The sequence below is a fragment of the Homo sapiens genome, chromosome 4 (genome assembly GCF_000001405.40).
Source record: "Homo sapiens chromosome 4, GRCh38.p14 Primary Assembly".
Classification (NCBI taxonomy): domain Eukaryota; kingdom Metazoa; phylum Chordata; class Mammalia; order Primates; family Hominidae; genus Homo; species Homo sapiens.
Window position 1 is genome coordinate 146,905,193 of NC_000004.12, and position 16,853 is coordinate 146,922,045.

Here is a 16,853-nt window from a genome sequence, read left to right on the forward strand (position 1 = left end):
ACATAATGTGAATACAACACTAAAGTCTGTTTTGTAATATTTCATATTCTTGGTTATATTTACTGATTAGAGAGTTATTGCTTTTAGAAGTCAGTAAGTAAAACATTTCATATTTTCCACTTTAATAAAAAGTATATATATATATATAATTAAAAATATATGTAGTCCCGAAACAATTTTTTTATATTTTAGTAATTAAACCTTAATGTAAAAATATTTGCAACATTTCATAAGGTTTTTTTTTTTAGGAATGAGTTAGATAAGCTACCAAGATTACATATTTAAAGACTACTTGTCAGCTAAGCTATTTTTCTATGAATAAAGGATTGTTTTCTAGAATATTAAATATAAAAGAATATATTCAAGTTTCAAATCTTTGGGCAATCCAAATATGTGTCCTGTACCCTTTACAAAGGCTACAAGTAGCCTTCTCTCCTTGCTTGTAGACCACTTCCTTGAATTGACAGCAGGTATATTCAGAAGATGAAAATCAATTTTATTGTGGGTTTCTTATGCTCCTTAAAAAGAAGATTCTACAATAAAATAAATTTGGGAAACATTTTTGCAAATTTCCTTTTTCAGTAAACCACACAATATACATCAGCATGCTGAATGCTCTGATTAGTCCTGCAATAAATTAACCTGCTTAACCTCAATGTTAGTTCACCGGGTATTTCTCAAGCTTATTTGGCCAGAAAATTGTTTTGTTTTGCTTTACATCAAATCTGTAAACACCTGTGGAATTTTGCCTTAGAACATAATTTGTGTATCTTAAACAAACATTATTAGAAAAAAATTGCTGCTCAACCCTTAATAAATTTAAAAGTCAAGTGTAAATAATGTTTGAATTATCTATTGATTCTCTTACCCATTACCATTTTTGTCATCTCTTCCCTAGCCCCATGGGGCATAAGGCTCAAATCAGATGTCACAGATGGCACAGCAATGATTCATGACAATGGATAATATTTAAAAAAAAAAAGTATCAGGGACAAAGAAACACTTTAACAAATGGAAAATAACCCAAAAAGAAATGATTGGCTTACTTTAAACACACCTTTGCTATAAAACAGCAAGTGTTTTATAAAGTAATTTAAATAACTCTAGGTTACTGCTCTGTAAGTCTCAAGAGATAGAACTGACCTGAGATGACTATTGTTAATGCCATAGCTTTGATTAAATGAACTTCACTGTGACCCTAGAGTGATGGTTCTTCCAATGAGAAGCAACGAGATTGCTCAGTTATATGCTATCTCAGGAAAATTGCCTCTAATGTCACAACCATATGGAATGGAACTTTAAGATACTATTAACACATTTCTATATTCTAGGCTTACATACACATTTTAAGATTTAGGATTCATTCAAGTTAATAAGAGTGAATGTGCATATCTCATTTTCTGGTACATCCCTAATTCAAACCACAATTTTCCTCCAATAAAGTTCATGTGTTGAATGTGGAAAAAAAATTATAACAATTTTTGAAAAAAGGTGACACAAATGTTTACATGTCCTTCAGCTGAAGTTTTTCCAGTAATACTTTTGTAATAATTTTAATTTTCTATATTTCAACCAGACAAAAGCCACTGCATTTTGTGGGAGATAATCCTACAGAAGAGACTTTGGCTATTATAACTTTGGACTTTGGGCCAGGTGCGGTGGCTTACGCCTGTAATCCCAGCTCTTTGGGAGACCAAGGTAGGAGAATCACTTGAGGTTAGGAGTTCGAGACCAGCCTGGCCAACATGGTGAAACCCCGTCTCTACTAAAAATACAAAAATTAGCTTGGCATGGTGGTTTGTGCCTGTAGTCCCAGCTACTCGGGAGGCTGAGGCAGGAAAATCACTTGAACCTGGAAGAAGGAGGTTGCAGTGAGCTGAGATCACATCACTGTACTCCAGCCTGGTTGACAGAACAAGAGTTTGTCTCAAAACAAAACAAAAAGTTAGGCTTTGTTAACTTTTGGATTGGAGAAACATTTTTACTTATAGTAACTTTCCTTTAAGAAATATTATATATTAAAATGTTTTCTACCCTCAAATAGACTATTTGGCATTTTAGGTTCTTATAAATTTGAAAAAGCTTTATGACAAGCTGGCTCACATCTATGACACCTTATGACAAGTGACATATTTAGCTTATATTTACACTATCTCCAATGAAAGCCTCAATTTAAAACAGTGAATATGATAAAATTCAATGGAATAAAACAGCTAATGAGCAAATATTATCTTAGTTCTACTTTCAGTTTAAATATCACTGTAGAATTTTGGGCAAATACTAGAATGTAGGTTGTTTTGTTTTGTTTTGTTTGTTTTGTTTTGAGATGGAGTCTTGCTCTTGTCACCCAAGCTGGAGCGCAATGGAGCAATCTCAGCTCACTGCAACTTTTGTCTCTCGGGTTCAAGCAATTCCCTGCCTCAGCCTTCTGAGTAGCTGGGATTACAGGCGTCCGCCATCATGCCCGGCTAATTTTTTTGTATTTTTAGTAGAGACGGGTTTTCACCATGTTGGCCAGGCTGGTCTCAAACTCCTGACCTCAGGTGATCCACCCGCCTTGGCCTCCCAAAGTGCTAGAATTACAGGCATGAGCCACCGCGCCCAGCCAAAATGGAGGTTTTTTATAATAGCACTTTTTATTTACAATAGTTAATTTCTTGAGAAATAATTGTAAATAATATTTTAAAGTTCACCAAAATATTTTTTTTCACATCCATCCTGCAGTGAAACCCTTTTCATAATATACATAACCACCTCCTATCCCACCCCTGCCACACACACACCCTAGTTCATTTGTTTTGTTGTTCACATTTTTGTGTGTCTCATATTCATAAGTCAGGTCACAACCTGATGGGAAATATGTATTGGCTCCAACATATAGAGACTCTTCTAATGTTGTTTACATGACTCCATAAATTTTCTCCATGGTACCATTGGGTAACAAAAAGTTGCTGATACCCTATTTTCTCATAGAAAAGCCTGAAATGACATGTAGACATTGTCATGTTGAGGCCTGAGTTTTTCTTTTTGAATCCTGTGGTATTTTCCCCAAAAAATTTGGAGAAAAGAATAATTTAGAATACCAAATTTACATGCCAAATTCTAGAATTTCATTTTTTTATTTGATTATAGATGACTAGTTAAAATGACCAGTTCCTAATATGTAACTAAGAAATATTTATGACAACAATATCAGTATAATTAGTGTAGAAATGAAAATATTTAATACTTGGAATGTATACTAACTTTCTGGAAAATTTTGAAATACAAAAAATGTATTAGAAATGATGTCATGGAAAATATAAAATTGACAATTTTATTTGCAATTGTGAATTGCAGGATTTTCATGTCTTTTTACTATTTACAAAGATAAATTCTCTGATTCAAATCAGTAGGACTTCTTGACCCAAACTTCAAAGTCCACTATCTAAACTTAGGAAAATCAGTGTGATTTTCAAGTTATAGTACTCTTTGAAAGTATCTCCTCTATGAAAGTCAATATTCAGATTACGTATACAGAAAAACTGTAGAAAGGTTTAAACCTAATGATAGGAACTATGTTAATTCATGGGGGAAGTTCTGGAGATATTATTAGGTGCTATGTGTTGTCTTCCCTGGCTCGGAAGGACATCACCAGAATGCCCCCGTGTCTGGGCAGCCTCGTGATCCAACATTCCCTTTCCTTAATTCCATAAAGACGTTTAATTGACTGGGTTGAAGTGTGCTAAGTTGTCTTAATGTTTCAAATTCATACATGAAACAATCTGGAATCTTCCCCCAGGAGCTCGGTGTTCTGGCTCCTTCTGTGCTCTGCCCACAGTCCCACCACTTACCTTTCCTCTCAGCGTCCTCAGCCCTGGTCAGGTAATGGTACAGGTAATCCAGTTTATCAGGCTGCTCCTCCAGGGGCTTCTGCAGCCAGAAGAGGGACCTGACTCTCGCAGCCTCCCTCAGGGCATCCCACCGCTCCATCAGAGCGAAGAGCTCGGTGAAGGACTTATGATAACCATCTCGCAGCATGTCCACACAGATATTCTTCTTGTAGGAGTTCCTATAACTGGAAATATGAATCAGAACACTCTCAGGTTTATGTTAATCCTTTCAGTCTGCACGGTATTTTCATTCTCTAATAATTAAAGGTTGAATCATGTTGCCTTTTATCCCTCAGTGAAAGCACTGAAAACTATCAAAAGATCTTTGCCTCAAACACTTATAATTGAACAACTTCTGTTTAATGAAAGATGCCAGGAGCTATCTAAACACAGTAATTTTAATGAAATTACATTATAAACATATCAGTTCCAGAGCTGAGCTCCATTTGATAAGGACAAATAAGCTAGTTGACTGATGAATATTAAAAAATACTTGATATATCAGCCTCCCACCAAAAAAAACCTCAACAAGTCAAGCAAAAATAAAACTTGCCATTTAATATCAAAACAATATTCTCTCTATATTAGTAGTTTCACTGTATGTTACAGAAGTTCATCATTCTTTCATTCATGCAGAAAATATTTATTGAAATCTATTACTAACTATATATTTTTTAATTACTTTCAGTTAGAATTAAGTTAATGATTAATAATTATATTCTCACTTCAATAATCAAATGCAAAAAGATAAAGTGACAAATGAATATTCCATTTAGTCAAGCGACAAATAGGTGCTGAGTTTCCTACTAAGTGCCAGGCGCTGTTCTAGACCAAATAGATTCCATACCCTTGTGACGCTTACATTCTAGGGGCAGAACATGACTAACAAATAAGTAAGCAAATGAGAAATAATTTCAAATCACGAAAATTTCTAGAAAGGAAATAAACAGAATTGTGAGATAATAGCTGTGTAGTGGCTATTATTCCATTAAAAGAACAATTAGATACCAAAAGATATAGCTTTATACTAATTATATTATATTCTTTAAAAAAAAATAGGACAAACGACATGATGTGATACTACTGGCAACAAAAATTCACCGTGGAGTGGAAACAGCCCAGACCACCAAGATTGAGTCCAGTTTTGCCTCACCTCCCTGGGTCTCCAGTCTTCTCATCTCTAAGCTGTGTATATTAGTATATGCTACCTACATCATGGGATTCCTCTAGGAACCAAATGAAATTAGGTATGTGAGAATACTCTGGGAAATGTGAAATCTCACTGCTGCTTCTCAATTCCTCATTATGCATTAGATTCACCTACAGAGTTCAAAAAAACAAACAAATAACAAAACAAAACAAAGTGACTAGACTTGCATCTACCAAGGATTTCTTATCCATTGGATCAACTTAGGTAGAGAACAAACAAATGAGGAGTGGCAAGCAGGAGAGTGGTGAGACAGGAAGTTTAGAAAAAAAGGCAGGGACCAGATCATGAAGAGATCTTACGGTAAAAACAACAGTGAGAAGTTTGGACTCCAAGCTGGGAGGGAGGTAGAGCTATTGGAGATCAGAGTCAGGGAACTGACATGACGAGACTGCATTTTACAAAAGTCATCTGGAAGAAGTGTCCCAGCTGAACCGCAACCTTCCCCTATATGGCAGTCAGGTTGTTACAGAACTAGTTCGTAAAGAGAATAAAGAGACCACATGGATCCTAGGTCAAAAGATCAAATGCCAACATTTAGTATGAGAATAAGATATATTTGAAATGGGGAAGAGAAAAGGAATAGTGCTTGTTACTTATTCCTGTCCTCCAATTGCGATCGATAGAGGAGAAAAGTATGGAGAAAGGCAGTGAGATGCTTGGAGGGCCATGTTCTCTTTCTCTTTCTCACTCCAGTCAAATGGAGGGGCTCAGAGAGTAGAAAAGTCAACATCCTGTGAAATGCAGTGAGAGCCAAGAGTAGAAAACACTCATATCCTGCTTCCCATCTAGGGTTATTGAAGGCAGGGAGGATTACCAACATCCCTCTCCCCACCTCCCTATACGCAAGGGCATGCAAAGGCAGCAAAAGTCCCTGCATAGCACTTCTAGGCAGAAGAGGACCAGAACCAACCCTGTAATTGCCCACAGCCCATGAATGGTATAGGAGAAGGGACTTAATATTCCAGTGGGCATCATGTGTGGCCCAGAATTTACTGGGAGGAGAGGGCTGATAAGTCTGTCACAATGTCATCTGGCCATAGCAAGGAGATGTATCCTAATGACTGCTCATGGGCTGCCCACTGGGGACTGAAGGAAGACACAGCTAAAACTGAAATGAGCATACTGGGGAGCTCCTGAAGGGTTCAGGTCAGCATATTTCCAGAGCTCATAGAACAAAGACGGATCAAGTACATCAGAGATGGACACATGTAAAGGACTTCATAAGCTAGGAATGCATTCAGCTATAAGTAAAAGAAACTTGTCTCACAGTGCTGTGAAAAATGGAGGTTTCTAATTTTCTTGCCTAAAGGCAGGCAGCTGAGGGCCTTGGTTCAGTAGCCTGGCAAGTTCAAGACCATGTCTCTGGGGTTATCTTGACTTTCCCTCCTTCTGGTCCCTTACTGGTTGCTACAGGGCTGCTACAGCTTCAGACATTAGGTCTACTTTCAAGACAGGAAGAAAAGGGAAAGTGGGTTGGCACTGGCATCCCTTATTTTAGGGAAAAATGAAACATTCCTGCAACCACTAGCGGATTTCCACTTGTTTATTGGCCAGAACCCTGTCACAGCCCCACTCCTCACCTTGGTGCAAGGAGTCTGGAAAAACAAATACCCTGCCTGCTCTTGGGCATGTTGCTGCCCCCAAGCAAAACTAGAGCTATGTCTGCAAAGATGGAGGAAGGAATGGATACTGGCCAGACAAATGCAGTGACAATTACAAAGTCCTAGAAGTCAGAGGTGTCCAGTCTTTTGGCTTCTCTGGGCCACATTGGAAGAAGAATTGCCTTGGGCCACACATAAAATTCACTAACACTAACAATAGCTGATAAGCTAAAAAAAAAATCACAAAAAAATCTCATAGCCTTTTTAAGAAAGTTTATGAATTTGTGTTGGGCCACATTCAAAGCCATCCTGGGCCGCATGTGGCCCACGGGCACTGGGTTGGACAAGCTTGTTCCAGGTCAAGATCTGAAAATAAATGTTGTTACCCCAGGGGGTTACCAGATAAAATGTAGGATGCCCAGGTACATTTTAACATCAGATAAACAATGAATGATTTTTTTATTAGCAGTATTCCCCAAATATTGCACAGAACATACTTATTCTAAAAAAAAATTTCTTGTTTTTGAAACTCAGACTGAACTGTATGGTCTGTATTTCTATTTGCTAAATCTAGTAACTCTACTCCCCTGAAGCCCCGAGTAGTGCGCTGCTGTTTCCGTGTAGGAAAATAGGGTGAGGGGAAGAAGTTTTAGAATCTTGAACAACCTGAGAAACTGCCGAATTGGACTGACTTTACCTGAGAGTGACAAGATTGGATTTTTACACTAGGGAGGATCAAGGCTCAGGGCCAGGAATTAAAATTAAGTTATAAAAAAATAAAGACTTTCAATTTAGCATTCTCGAGTCTGTGAGTCAGAAATTCACACCTGATCCAAGAGAAGGGAGGGGAGGAGGGTAAAACCGGGAGCAGGAAGAACAGATGGGAGACTGGTGGTTGTGGAAAGGAGAGGTGCTGGGGGTGGAACCAGGGTAAAGCTGGAAGGATAGAGAGAAGTAGGTGATTTCAAAACATTTTAAGGAGACAAAAATATGGGTTACTTGGTGATTCAAAGGATATCAAGGGTGAAGGAAAGGGAGGAGCAAGGATAACAACCAGGTTTTGGGATTGGGTAATGGGTAATTAGTAATTTGCTGAAGAGGGGAACACGAAAGGATGAACAGGTTTGGGGAAAGATAATGAGTTAAGGTTCAGATAACTGGAGTTTCAGGAGCCTGAGGGGACCTCCACGTGTTACCCTAGAAGGCAGTTTGGGGGGTGACATAGGAGGCCTGAGAGGACAAGGGGTTGTAATCTTGCTCACACAAGCAATGCCACCTTTGTATGTGTATGCACTGGCGGCCAGCCGATCTTCCTAGGAGTGAAGAAAACATTTGGGGGCCAAAATGAAGAAAATTATAAATAGATAAAAATTAAAATTGACCATAAATGATACAAATAAATGCTAGATAGGGCAGTTAGAAGGCTGTCTCAGTTCTAATCACAACAGGGTCAGAAATCCAGAAAAATCACTCTGGGCCTCATTTTCCCCACCTGGAAGATGAAGGTGCTTTTGCTGGATTTGGTCCACCCAGCATCTAGCTCCACGTCCACAGGAGGCACATTCTAAAAGTATTTCAGAAATAACCAATCCCACGTTGTGTGTAGTCTTGGTGGCATGGAAATTCAGGGACTCCCTAGCCAAGGAGTGGGTTATTGACCCAAATTAGGCCAACTGGTCTCTCTCCCAAAATTCTGAAACCAGAGGCAAGCAACATAAAGGTGTAGGAGGTTGCTGGTGCTCAATCAATCTGGAAGAATCTTGACAAGATTCTCTCGTAGTTCCTGCTAACTACGTCCATTTGAGAGGGCTGGGTCTGGTCTTTTTCTTCTGATCTGGGTTCTCCTCTAAATTCCACCATAACCTTTCAATAAAATCATTTCCACTTGATTTAGTCAGAATCCATTTCTGCTGTCTGTGACCAAAGAACACTAAGTGATTCAGAAGGGGTTGGACAATCATTTCCACAATGCCTTTCAGCTTCAAACATCTGTGATATATAACTGATATCAATTTTTAAAATTTCTAGTACATTTTTAAAAAAGATCATTCTTTACAGATGATGTTACAAATAGAAATGTATTTAAATATGCATATAGAACTATGCTGGTATCATCTCTATTTTTTACACACATGCGCACATACCTATGCATACAAATATGCTACTGTTTAAGCCTCATTGCTAATATTTGAGAGCAAGAAAAGACAATTATAGTGGTTTAATAAATAGGTTCCTATCTAAACCTTCATAGTTATTGCAAATTATTTCTTTTAACCAGAAAATCTTCTTTTATTAAAATAAATCGGCTATCTAAAAAAAAGGAATGTCAATCTCTACCATTAGATTTGAATTTCTCAGGTTTTAAATTTCATAACAGAGAACCATAGCCCAAGTTCACTTGCTGTATGAAAGAGAATTGTTTTAAACACAAATAGAAATATAAACAAAACTCAGATTTATTCGCTTAATCATTATTTCATTTGGCCATAAACTTTTTAGGCTTTGGTTTCATTTACACATTAAAAAACTTTTATGAATATTAGTCTAAATTAACAGATGCTGTTTTTAAGCATCAGAAAAAGAAAAATCTTCTTGAACTGATGCCATGATACTGGATGAAAATAGAGAATGCTGGTAAAATTTATGGAGAGATTTAATATTAGGAAATATGAGGAGAGTTCATCTGACAGGAAAAAAACGTGCCATTCACAGAAGCAAAAGTTGTCACATTCGTGGACATGCTGAATGTATCCTGAGGAAGATCTTTGCCACTGCAGATACTTGGGGCTGCAACGAGATAAGGGATGCAGCTTGAGAATGCATTTGAGAATGAAATTAAGTAGTCAAGCATTTCATATGGGTTTTATTGCCATTTAAGGGCATTATTCATTCAATGGAGATGTTGTTAATTGTTTTGAATTCACATCAACATCTCCCTAAAAAAATGCAGAGATTTAAAAAATCTAGAGACTGACAGAAAGCAGAGCTGAACAATATGGCATAACTCCACAGCAGGTGAATATATAGAGATGCTGGGAAATGGAGAATTTACTGCTAAACAGCCATGGAGATATTATAGTGTTTTAAAATTCTGCCTTAAACTATTTTGAATAGCTACTATTTATAGAACACCCACAATGTGTCAGGCACTGTGTAGACATCATTTCTAACTGGCACAATAACTGTATAAAGAACTACTTCAATTTTTACAAATTAAAAAACCTGTCTTCAGTGAGGTTGTGAATTGCCCAAAGCCATACAAGTTATTAATAGTAAATGGCAGAGTTGGAATTCACACCCAGCTCCCTCTGGTTGCAAATTCTGAATTCTTCCCATTTCCCTACATTGCCTCCTATTATATCATGTATTGTTGCTTTTTCTTCTTCTCCTCCTCCACACAATGTTTTATTTATTGCATTGATTAGGAATTTGATGTTATTTGACAATTATGATGCAATCTTTCAATTGGTAAGCCATTCTCTTTATCCATGGCAATCCATGTTTAGGTTGGGTTGGAGACAGAGATCAGTATCATTTTGTGACTCCCCCAGAAAATCCTTCTCTTTAAAAGGAGAGAGCAGACAGCCAGCAGCATCCAGGAAGAGCAAATTAAATGGATATGGTTCCCACTCAAGGGTGTAAACTCTAACGGGAAAAACACTGACAAAGACAAACATTTAAAAGGATAAAAAGCATATACTTCTATAAATATAAAAAAGATGAATAGATGCAATGAATAGAAATTACAATTTATTTTACTTTCTCTGCACCTAAACTAATAAATCTAACAAGTAATATAAAACCACCTAAGTAGGTCTTTGTATAAGTTATTAGGTGAATTTTTAAAATCAAAGGCATTATTGTATATTCAATTATATGACTGATATATTTAACATATTTTTTTCATAGGATAAACTGAATTATGGAATCAAGATGAAGCTTTACAGTCAGTGAAATATTTCAAAAGCGGTTCAATAAAAAAACCGTACTTTAAAACAAGATCATAAAATTTTCATTTAATCTGACAAAGATAAAATCAAAAGATATGTAACATCTAATCAAAAGTCAGGATAATACTTTTATTTCATTAAGTTAATATTTATAAGTCACGAGTGGGTTATCCATGTGTCAGTTATAACAGTTTTACATTCATATGGTAGGGATAAATGTTACTGGAATCACCTACGGGATAATTACATTGACTTAAATTAATACTTAAATAGCTTCAGTTAATATAATTTCCTTGGAATAAAGTGAATCACTATTCTTACCTATCTTTTTCGGTGTAGATAGATATTATGTATATCGTAATCAGAATTTAAAAAGTCATTTCTTGACATACACCTACTAACTGATAAAAATTATATGAGTTGTTTATGTTTTATAGTTTTTGGTAAAAATGCTATTTTTTCCCAAAAGCTAAAATAACAATATAGCATTTTCCTAGCCATATAAATGTATAAAGAGAGAGAAGTTAAAAAGACAAAAAATTTGAGAGTGTTTAAAATGACTTTTTACTTTAAAGCCATATAGAATTATAATGAAAACTGAAAGCATTTTTCTTAATGCTTAGGTTGTTCACAATTATTAGTCATAGTATTGATTAGCAATGATTAAGAATTGGGCTACCAACAGCCATATATGTATTTTGTAAGAAAGATTAGTGAGTTAAGATTTTTAGAATTCTTAATTTATTTTCCATGCACTTCAAAATATAGCAAGAAAGAAGTTTCAATATAAAAAGGTCTTTAAATTTACATGATTTCCAATGAGTTGACTGGTCTCTGGGGGCATCTACTGGAAATTTAGCAAACTGCAGTTACATCATGTAAATTTGGTAACTTTCACTATCCATCCTAATACAGATATTATTTTAATTGATATGCAAATAAGTTGACAAAGAAGATAAATGTAAAGTTATGCATGGTATTCTATCTCATCCATCTGGTAACAGCAAAACATGTAGCTGTCTATGAGATCAGTTAACAAATATTCAACTGTTAAAAATGTAAATAGGGCAGGTGGCATACCATAGATTAACAGTTTTCAAAGCATCCAATTCTTATTTTTGGAAAAATTAGAAAAATATTTTATACTTAAACATTCACATATTTAATGAGAAATTTTTATTAATCCAAATAAAATATATATATAAAGCACTTTTAAATTATGATGGATTCTCTAAAACAAATCATTTTGTATCTCATACATCCACCAATCATAAATAATATGACTACTGCTTATTTTCTATATGATTTAATTTAATTATTACATGTTAACATCTCAAAAAGTAGAATTTATTATACTTGGATCAGAAGAATTTTTCATTATAGTCATTACAACTAGAATTCATCATTAAAATGAACATTGTTATTAATGTCCTCTAAACATTTCAGAACCTCCTTAAAGAATATTGAACATATAATGAACACAATACAATCATTTCAATGTATTATAATTTAACATATTTTAATTAAAAAGCTCTTTTTATAATATTATGTTATGACTAATCATATAATTTAAATATCACAGCCATTATAATGATCTTGATTTTTTTGCAGAATTTATAGACCATATTCACTTTGAGAGATTAAAAATATAATTTGAAAGTATAAATATTGTGATATGCTTATATTTTACCATTATATATTTTATATATTGCTGTAAAATTTATATAATTTATATGTAATTTTTATAAAATGCAATTAGATATTATATACATTATATATTATTTATAATATATAATTAGATATTATATAAATTATATATTATATATTTATATAAAATTATGCATTATATAAATTTTATATTATATTACTTATATTAAATTATATGATACACAATTTATATAAAATTATATATAAAAATTATATAAAATTCTCCTTGTAAAGAGTCACATAACATTTTAGCTTCATTCCAAAGAGATTGTCTAATGCAATATATTAATTTATAATTTTTCTAAAAATTTCTTAGAATTGCTATCCAAATAAATGATTTCATCTTTTATTATATGAACTGAAAAAATTAAGCAATATAAAAATATTACCAAAAAGTCAGAATATAAATATTAATATAGCATTCTGTTTCAGTTTTGATTTAGACTCAATTTAGGTAGATAGGCCAATTTAACAATTTTAAATACATAAATAAAATCTGCCCCCCAGAACATTTTATGGAATAGAATTTTTATGTGATTATCAAAACAGTTACGCGTTTACTAATTTGAACTTTAGACGAAACTGTTACATATGCAAGTTTTGCTTTGTATTTTTGGATTTTTTATCTATTAATAATAAAGAAAAGCATAGTCAGAATTTCAACATTTTAAAAGTATATATACAAATTGAAAAATGCTATTTTGAAAAAACTAACCTAAGTTCAACCTTTATTTTTTAAGAAAAAAACTAGTAATAATTAAGGAATAAAGTTTATCCTCTGGCATTTTGTAAATAGTACTATCACTAATATAACTCAACGAATAATAAAAATATCTAAAAATTTGATCAGTAAAGATTCTCTCAATAGCCTGATAAGAATTCATTTCAACATGGGTGATTATATTTTAGAAGTTATGAAATATTTGTGTAGAATGGGACAGAAATTATTTCACAGATTCTATTTTGATAGAACTGATGTTTTGCATTAAAGGCAGTCACTTTTTGTGAGATCAACAAATGTTTATAAACCAAACTATATTTTCATTGATGATTATTAACAAATATCAGAGGAAAGCATGCTTATTTAGCAAATAGTACAGGACTATAATCTTTACAATAACTTTAGATAATTTCCTTAATAACATAAAGGCATTTTTTATGTGCCCACTTGCTCAAAGTTATTTATTCAAGTGATTCCCATTTAATCAAATATTTCAAGTACAGTAATTGTTATCAACCAGGAATGGATAAACTATTCATCAGACAATAGAAAGTATTACCAAAATAGTTACCCACGGTAGCTGTCGCACAGCACTTCAGCATCATTCATTTTCTTTATCGAAAAACCTCAAACATACACATTTTTAAGACTTAAAAAAATACTGTTTGTTTTAGAAACATTTGTTGATCTCACAAAAAGTAACTGCCTTTAATGAAAACTTCTCTAGTAGTCTGGTAAAAAAGGATTGGAAGAAAAGCTCCTTATATGAGGTTAATTACATATGCAATTTTGATAAAAGTCTTATTACTTCCAAACTCCTTTGAGAAATTCAAACTTTATACAAAATAATTTGTGTAGAAAAATTTTAAGCCAAAGATTCCACATGGAAAGATATTAAATGAGTGTTAAAGGAGAATTTTTCAGGGACAGTATTTTCAAGCCAGGATTACAACACGACTCCAAACACCTTTGGCTAACTGCAGCAAATCATATGGATTCTTGTTCTTTTCTTTCAGATTACACTGTACTTCTCTACTATAGAAAAACCAGTTAAACCTAAGCTGAAAAATAAACCCTGGAAATAATCTTAGCTTTTAAATTGAGTTATAATGATACAAAATAAATTCAAATAAGTAATACAATTCTGGTGTATTATGTGTCCTAATATAACAAGAAGAAACATGAGGAAAAGAGGAGGGAAACAAAAAATGAGCTTCATATCACAGGACTACAAAGAGTGGACTAAATATACATGTAAATATCATCATACTCACTCATCAAATGATCATTTTTGTCTAAATTTGTATTTATAATTTCTATTAACAAAAAACTCCATAGAATATGATATTCACTCTGTTGTGTTCTTCTTTTTAAAACCACCCATCTTCACACTGACACTCTGTTTTTTGAAACATAATTCTATGATACCCTCCACATTTTTTGAAATTTTATTGTTTGGAAAACTTTTTCTCAAATAACATCATTTAAAATTTTCTTTTAGTTTTCTACACAGCATTATAAATAAAAGAACTATCAACTTCCCATATACATTCAGGGAAATATCAAACTTTTATTAAAAATGAAAAGCTGGAGAATATAAAGAACAAACTTAGTAAAAACAAGTTGCATTATAAAGAAAACTTCAGCTCACTGCATTTTTTTTTACTAAAGTATGTCATACATTTTATCTTTGCAAGAATTTGACAAGTTTTGCAAGTAAAATTCTGTTTCCTCTACACTTGCTAATAGTCATGAGAATCTGTAGTTTGCACCTTCCCATTAAAAATGTATTGTATTTTTTGAAATTATTCACCCCGCCTTTTATCCAGATCATGTCTTTGAAAGGAGGAAGTAGATAATAAATGGAATAATTCATGATTCCCCATTAAATATGAAACTTTCTTTTGCAGAGTTTAGAAAATGAAGTTCTACATAATGTACAAAAGTTGATTAGAACTTTTTTAACCTTTTCAAGAAAAAACCTTTCATACTAAACAACTACATGAGGAGCTTTCTCTGAGAAAGGTAAAACAATCAATTCTTTACACCTATAGGTTCGTCATATATATTCTAATGTTGCCCCCTCTAAACATATATTTCCCTATAATACTTTAAACATATTAAAAATAATGGCAAGAAAAATAGTATACATTGAGTTGTAAACATGACAAGTTTTTAAGAGAAATATAACGTTTAAAATACAAAGGGAAAAAAATCACATAAATTAAAAATGAAAACAAAACATTATTCATGCTCTTTTCAGTAATGTAATGGAAGATAGTGTAGGGGTAAATAACAAAAACTGCATGTGTATTTCTCTTACTATGGCATGTCTTCTAGTGAAGTAATGATATTTTGTCATGAGAAAAAAGTATATACACTTATAAAACTTATCTTTTACAAATCAATCATTGGTACTCCATTAACTACACTCTCTTGAGCCCCTTTTTTGATAAAATTTTTAAAAAGAAACCAAATGATTCTTAAGATGACTCCAGTTCTATATTTTTAGATATAAATATTCTATATGTCTTGGGTGAGAAATCTGTATGTCTTGGGTGAGAAATTATATATATTCTATATGTCTTGGGTGAGAAATACCTTAAGAGAAATGTCAAGTTCTGACTACTTAAGAGCAGCAGTTGATCTCATTTCTTCTTTGGGTTTTTAAGTTTCTATTATAGAAATAGTTCCTCATTTGACTCAACATATTTTGATTTTCCCCTTATCTAAAAATAAAATTAGAATACATTTCCCTATCAAACTTGAATGCTTAAAAGATAACTACCGAACTGTAAGTCATGTAAATAAATCTTTCATATTATGTGCTCTTTAATTACCGTTGCAAAGTAAGTGTGCGCTGCGCACATGAACAGTGAAGCCAGGAGTTTTCACAGACTATATGTATATGATAAACTTCCAGAACATAATAAAATGCTTTGGCTAGAAAACATCTGTGTATATATAAAAGATCTTGTATATAAAGATCTTGTTTTCCTGAATATCATATTAATTTTATTGCACCTATCTAAACATTTAGAAAATTACTAGTTATAACTAAGAATATGGAATTAGTACATACAAAAGTATATCAATAAGAACATTGCAAGAACAAAAGAAAGTATTTGCAAGAAGATGAAATAAAAGAGCCTTGGATTTAAACTTTTTTAAAAAAGTATAAAATAGATTAGTAGGCGGAGAACAAGAATATTTTTCTTTTGTATTACCATATAATAATGCAAATACCAACAAAAAGAAAGCTTGTATAATATTATTAGTATTAAACAAAATAGAATTCAGGCAGAAAAAAATTAAAGGAGCATAATAATATCAGATATTATTATAAACAGATCAATTTACTGAAAAATATAGCAGGTGGGAAACAATGCACCTAATAATATAGCTTAAAAATACATAAAATTAACAGAATAATGAGAAGACATCGATTTTAATTTTTTTCAGAAACTTACAGATAAAGTAGAGGGAGAAGTATTTCAACAGTAATTGCCTAGCTTGATTGAAATAACAGCCTCACACTAATATTTAGATTCTGAGAGATTTTTATATAATTATCTATCAAACAAATACAGAATATATACTTATTCGTCAAAAAAAGAAATATTTATAAAACCTGACCATGTACTGGTCACACCAGGAATTTTGTAAATTGATACATTTAGTACACATCCATGGATATACATCCATGACACACTTACTAAGCATGAGTAAAGATTTACTTCCCAATCCTGGATCCCCTACAAAAAAAAAAAAAAAAAAGAAAGAAAGAAAACA

General features: G+C 33.0%; 1 protein-coding gene across 13 annotated transcripts in view; it reads right to left on the bottom strand.

Annotated features, from left to right (window-relative positions):
* TTC29 (tetratricopeptide repeat domain 29) overlaps window positions 1-16,853 on the bottom strand; it is a 239,248-nt gene that overhangs the window by 198,576 nt on the left and 23,819 nt on the right. For all 13 annotated transcript variants that reach the window (NR_133922.3, NM_001317806.3, NM_031956.4 and 10 more), the window contains one exon: window positions 3,834-4,057. Coding sequence is in view for 12 of the 13 variants with exons in the window: in NM_001317806.3 (NP_001304735.1) it covers window positions 3,834-4,057 (224 nt within the window). In the remaining variant the exon portion in view is untranslated. The remainder of the gene's footprint in view (window positions 1-3,833; window positions 4,058-16,853) is intronic.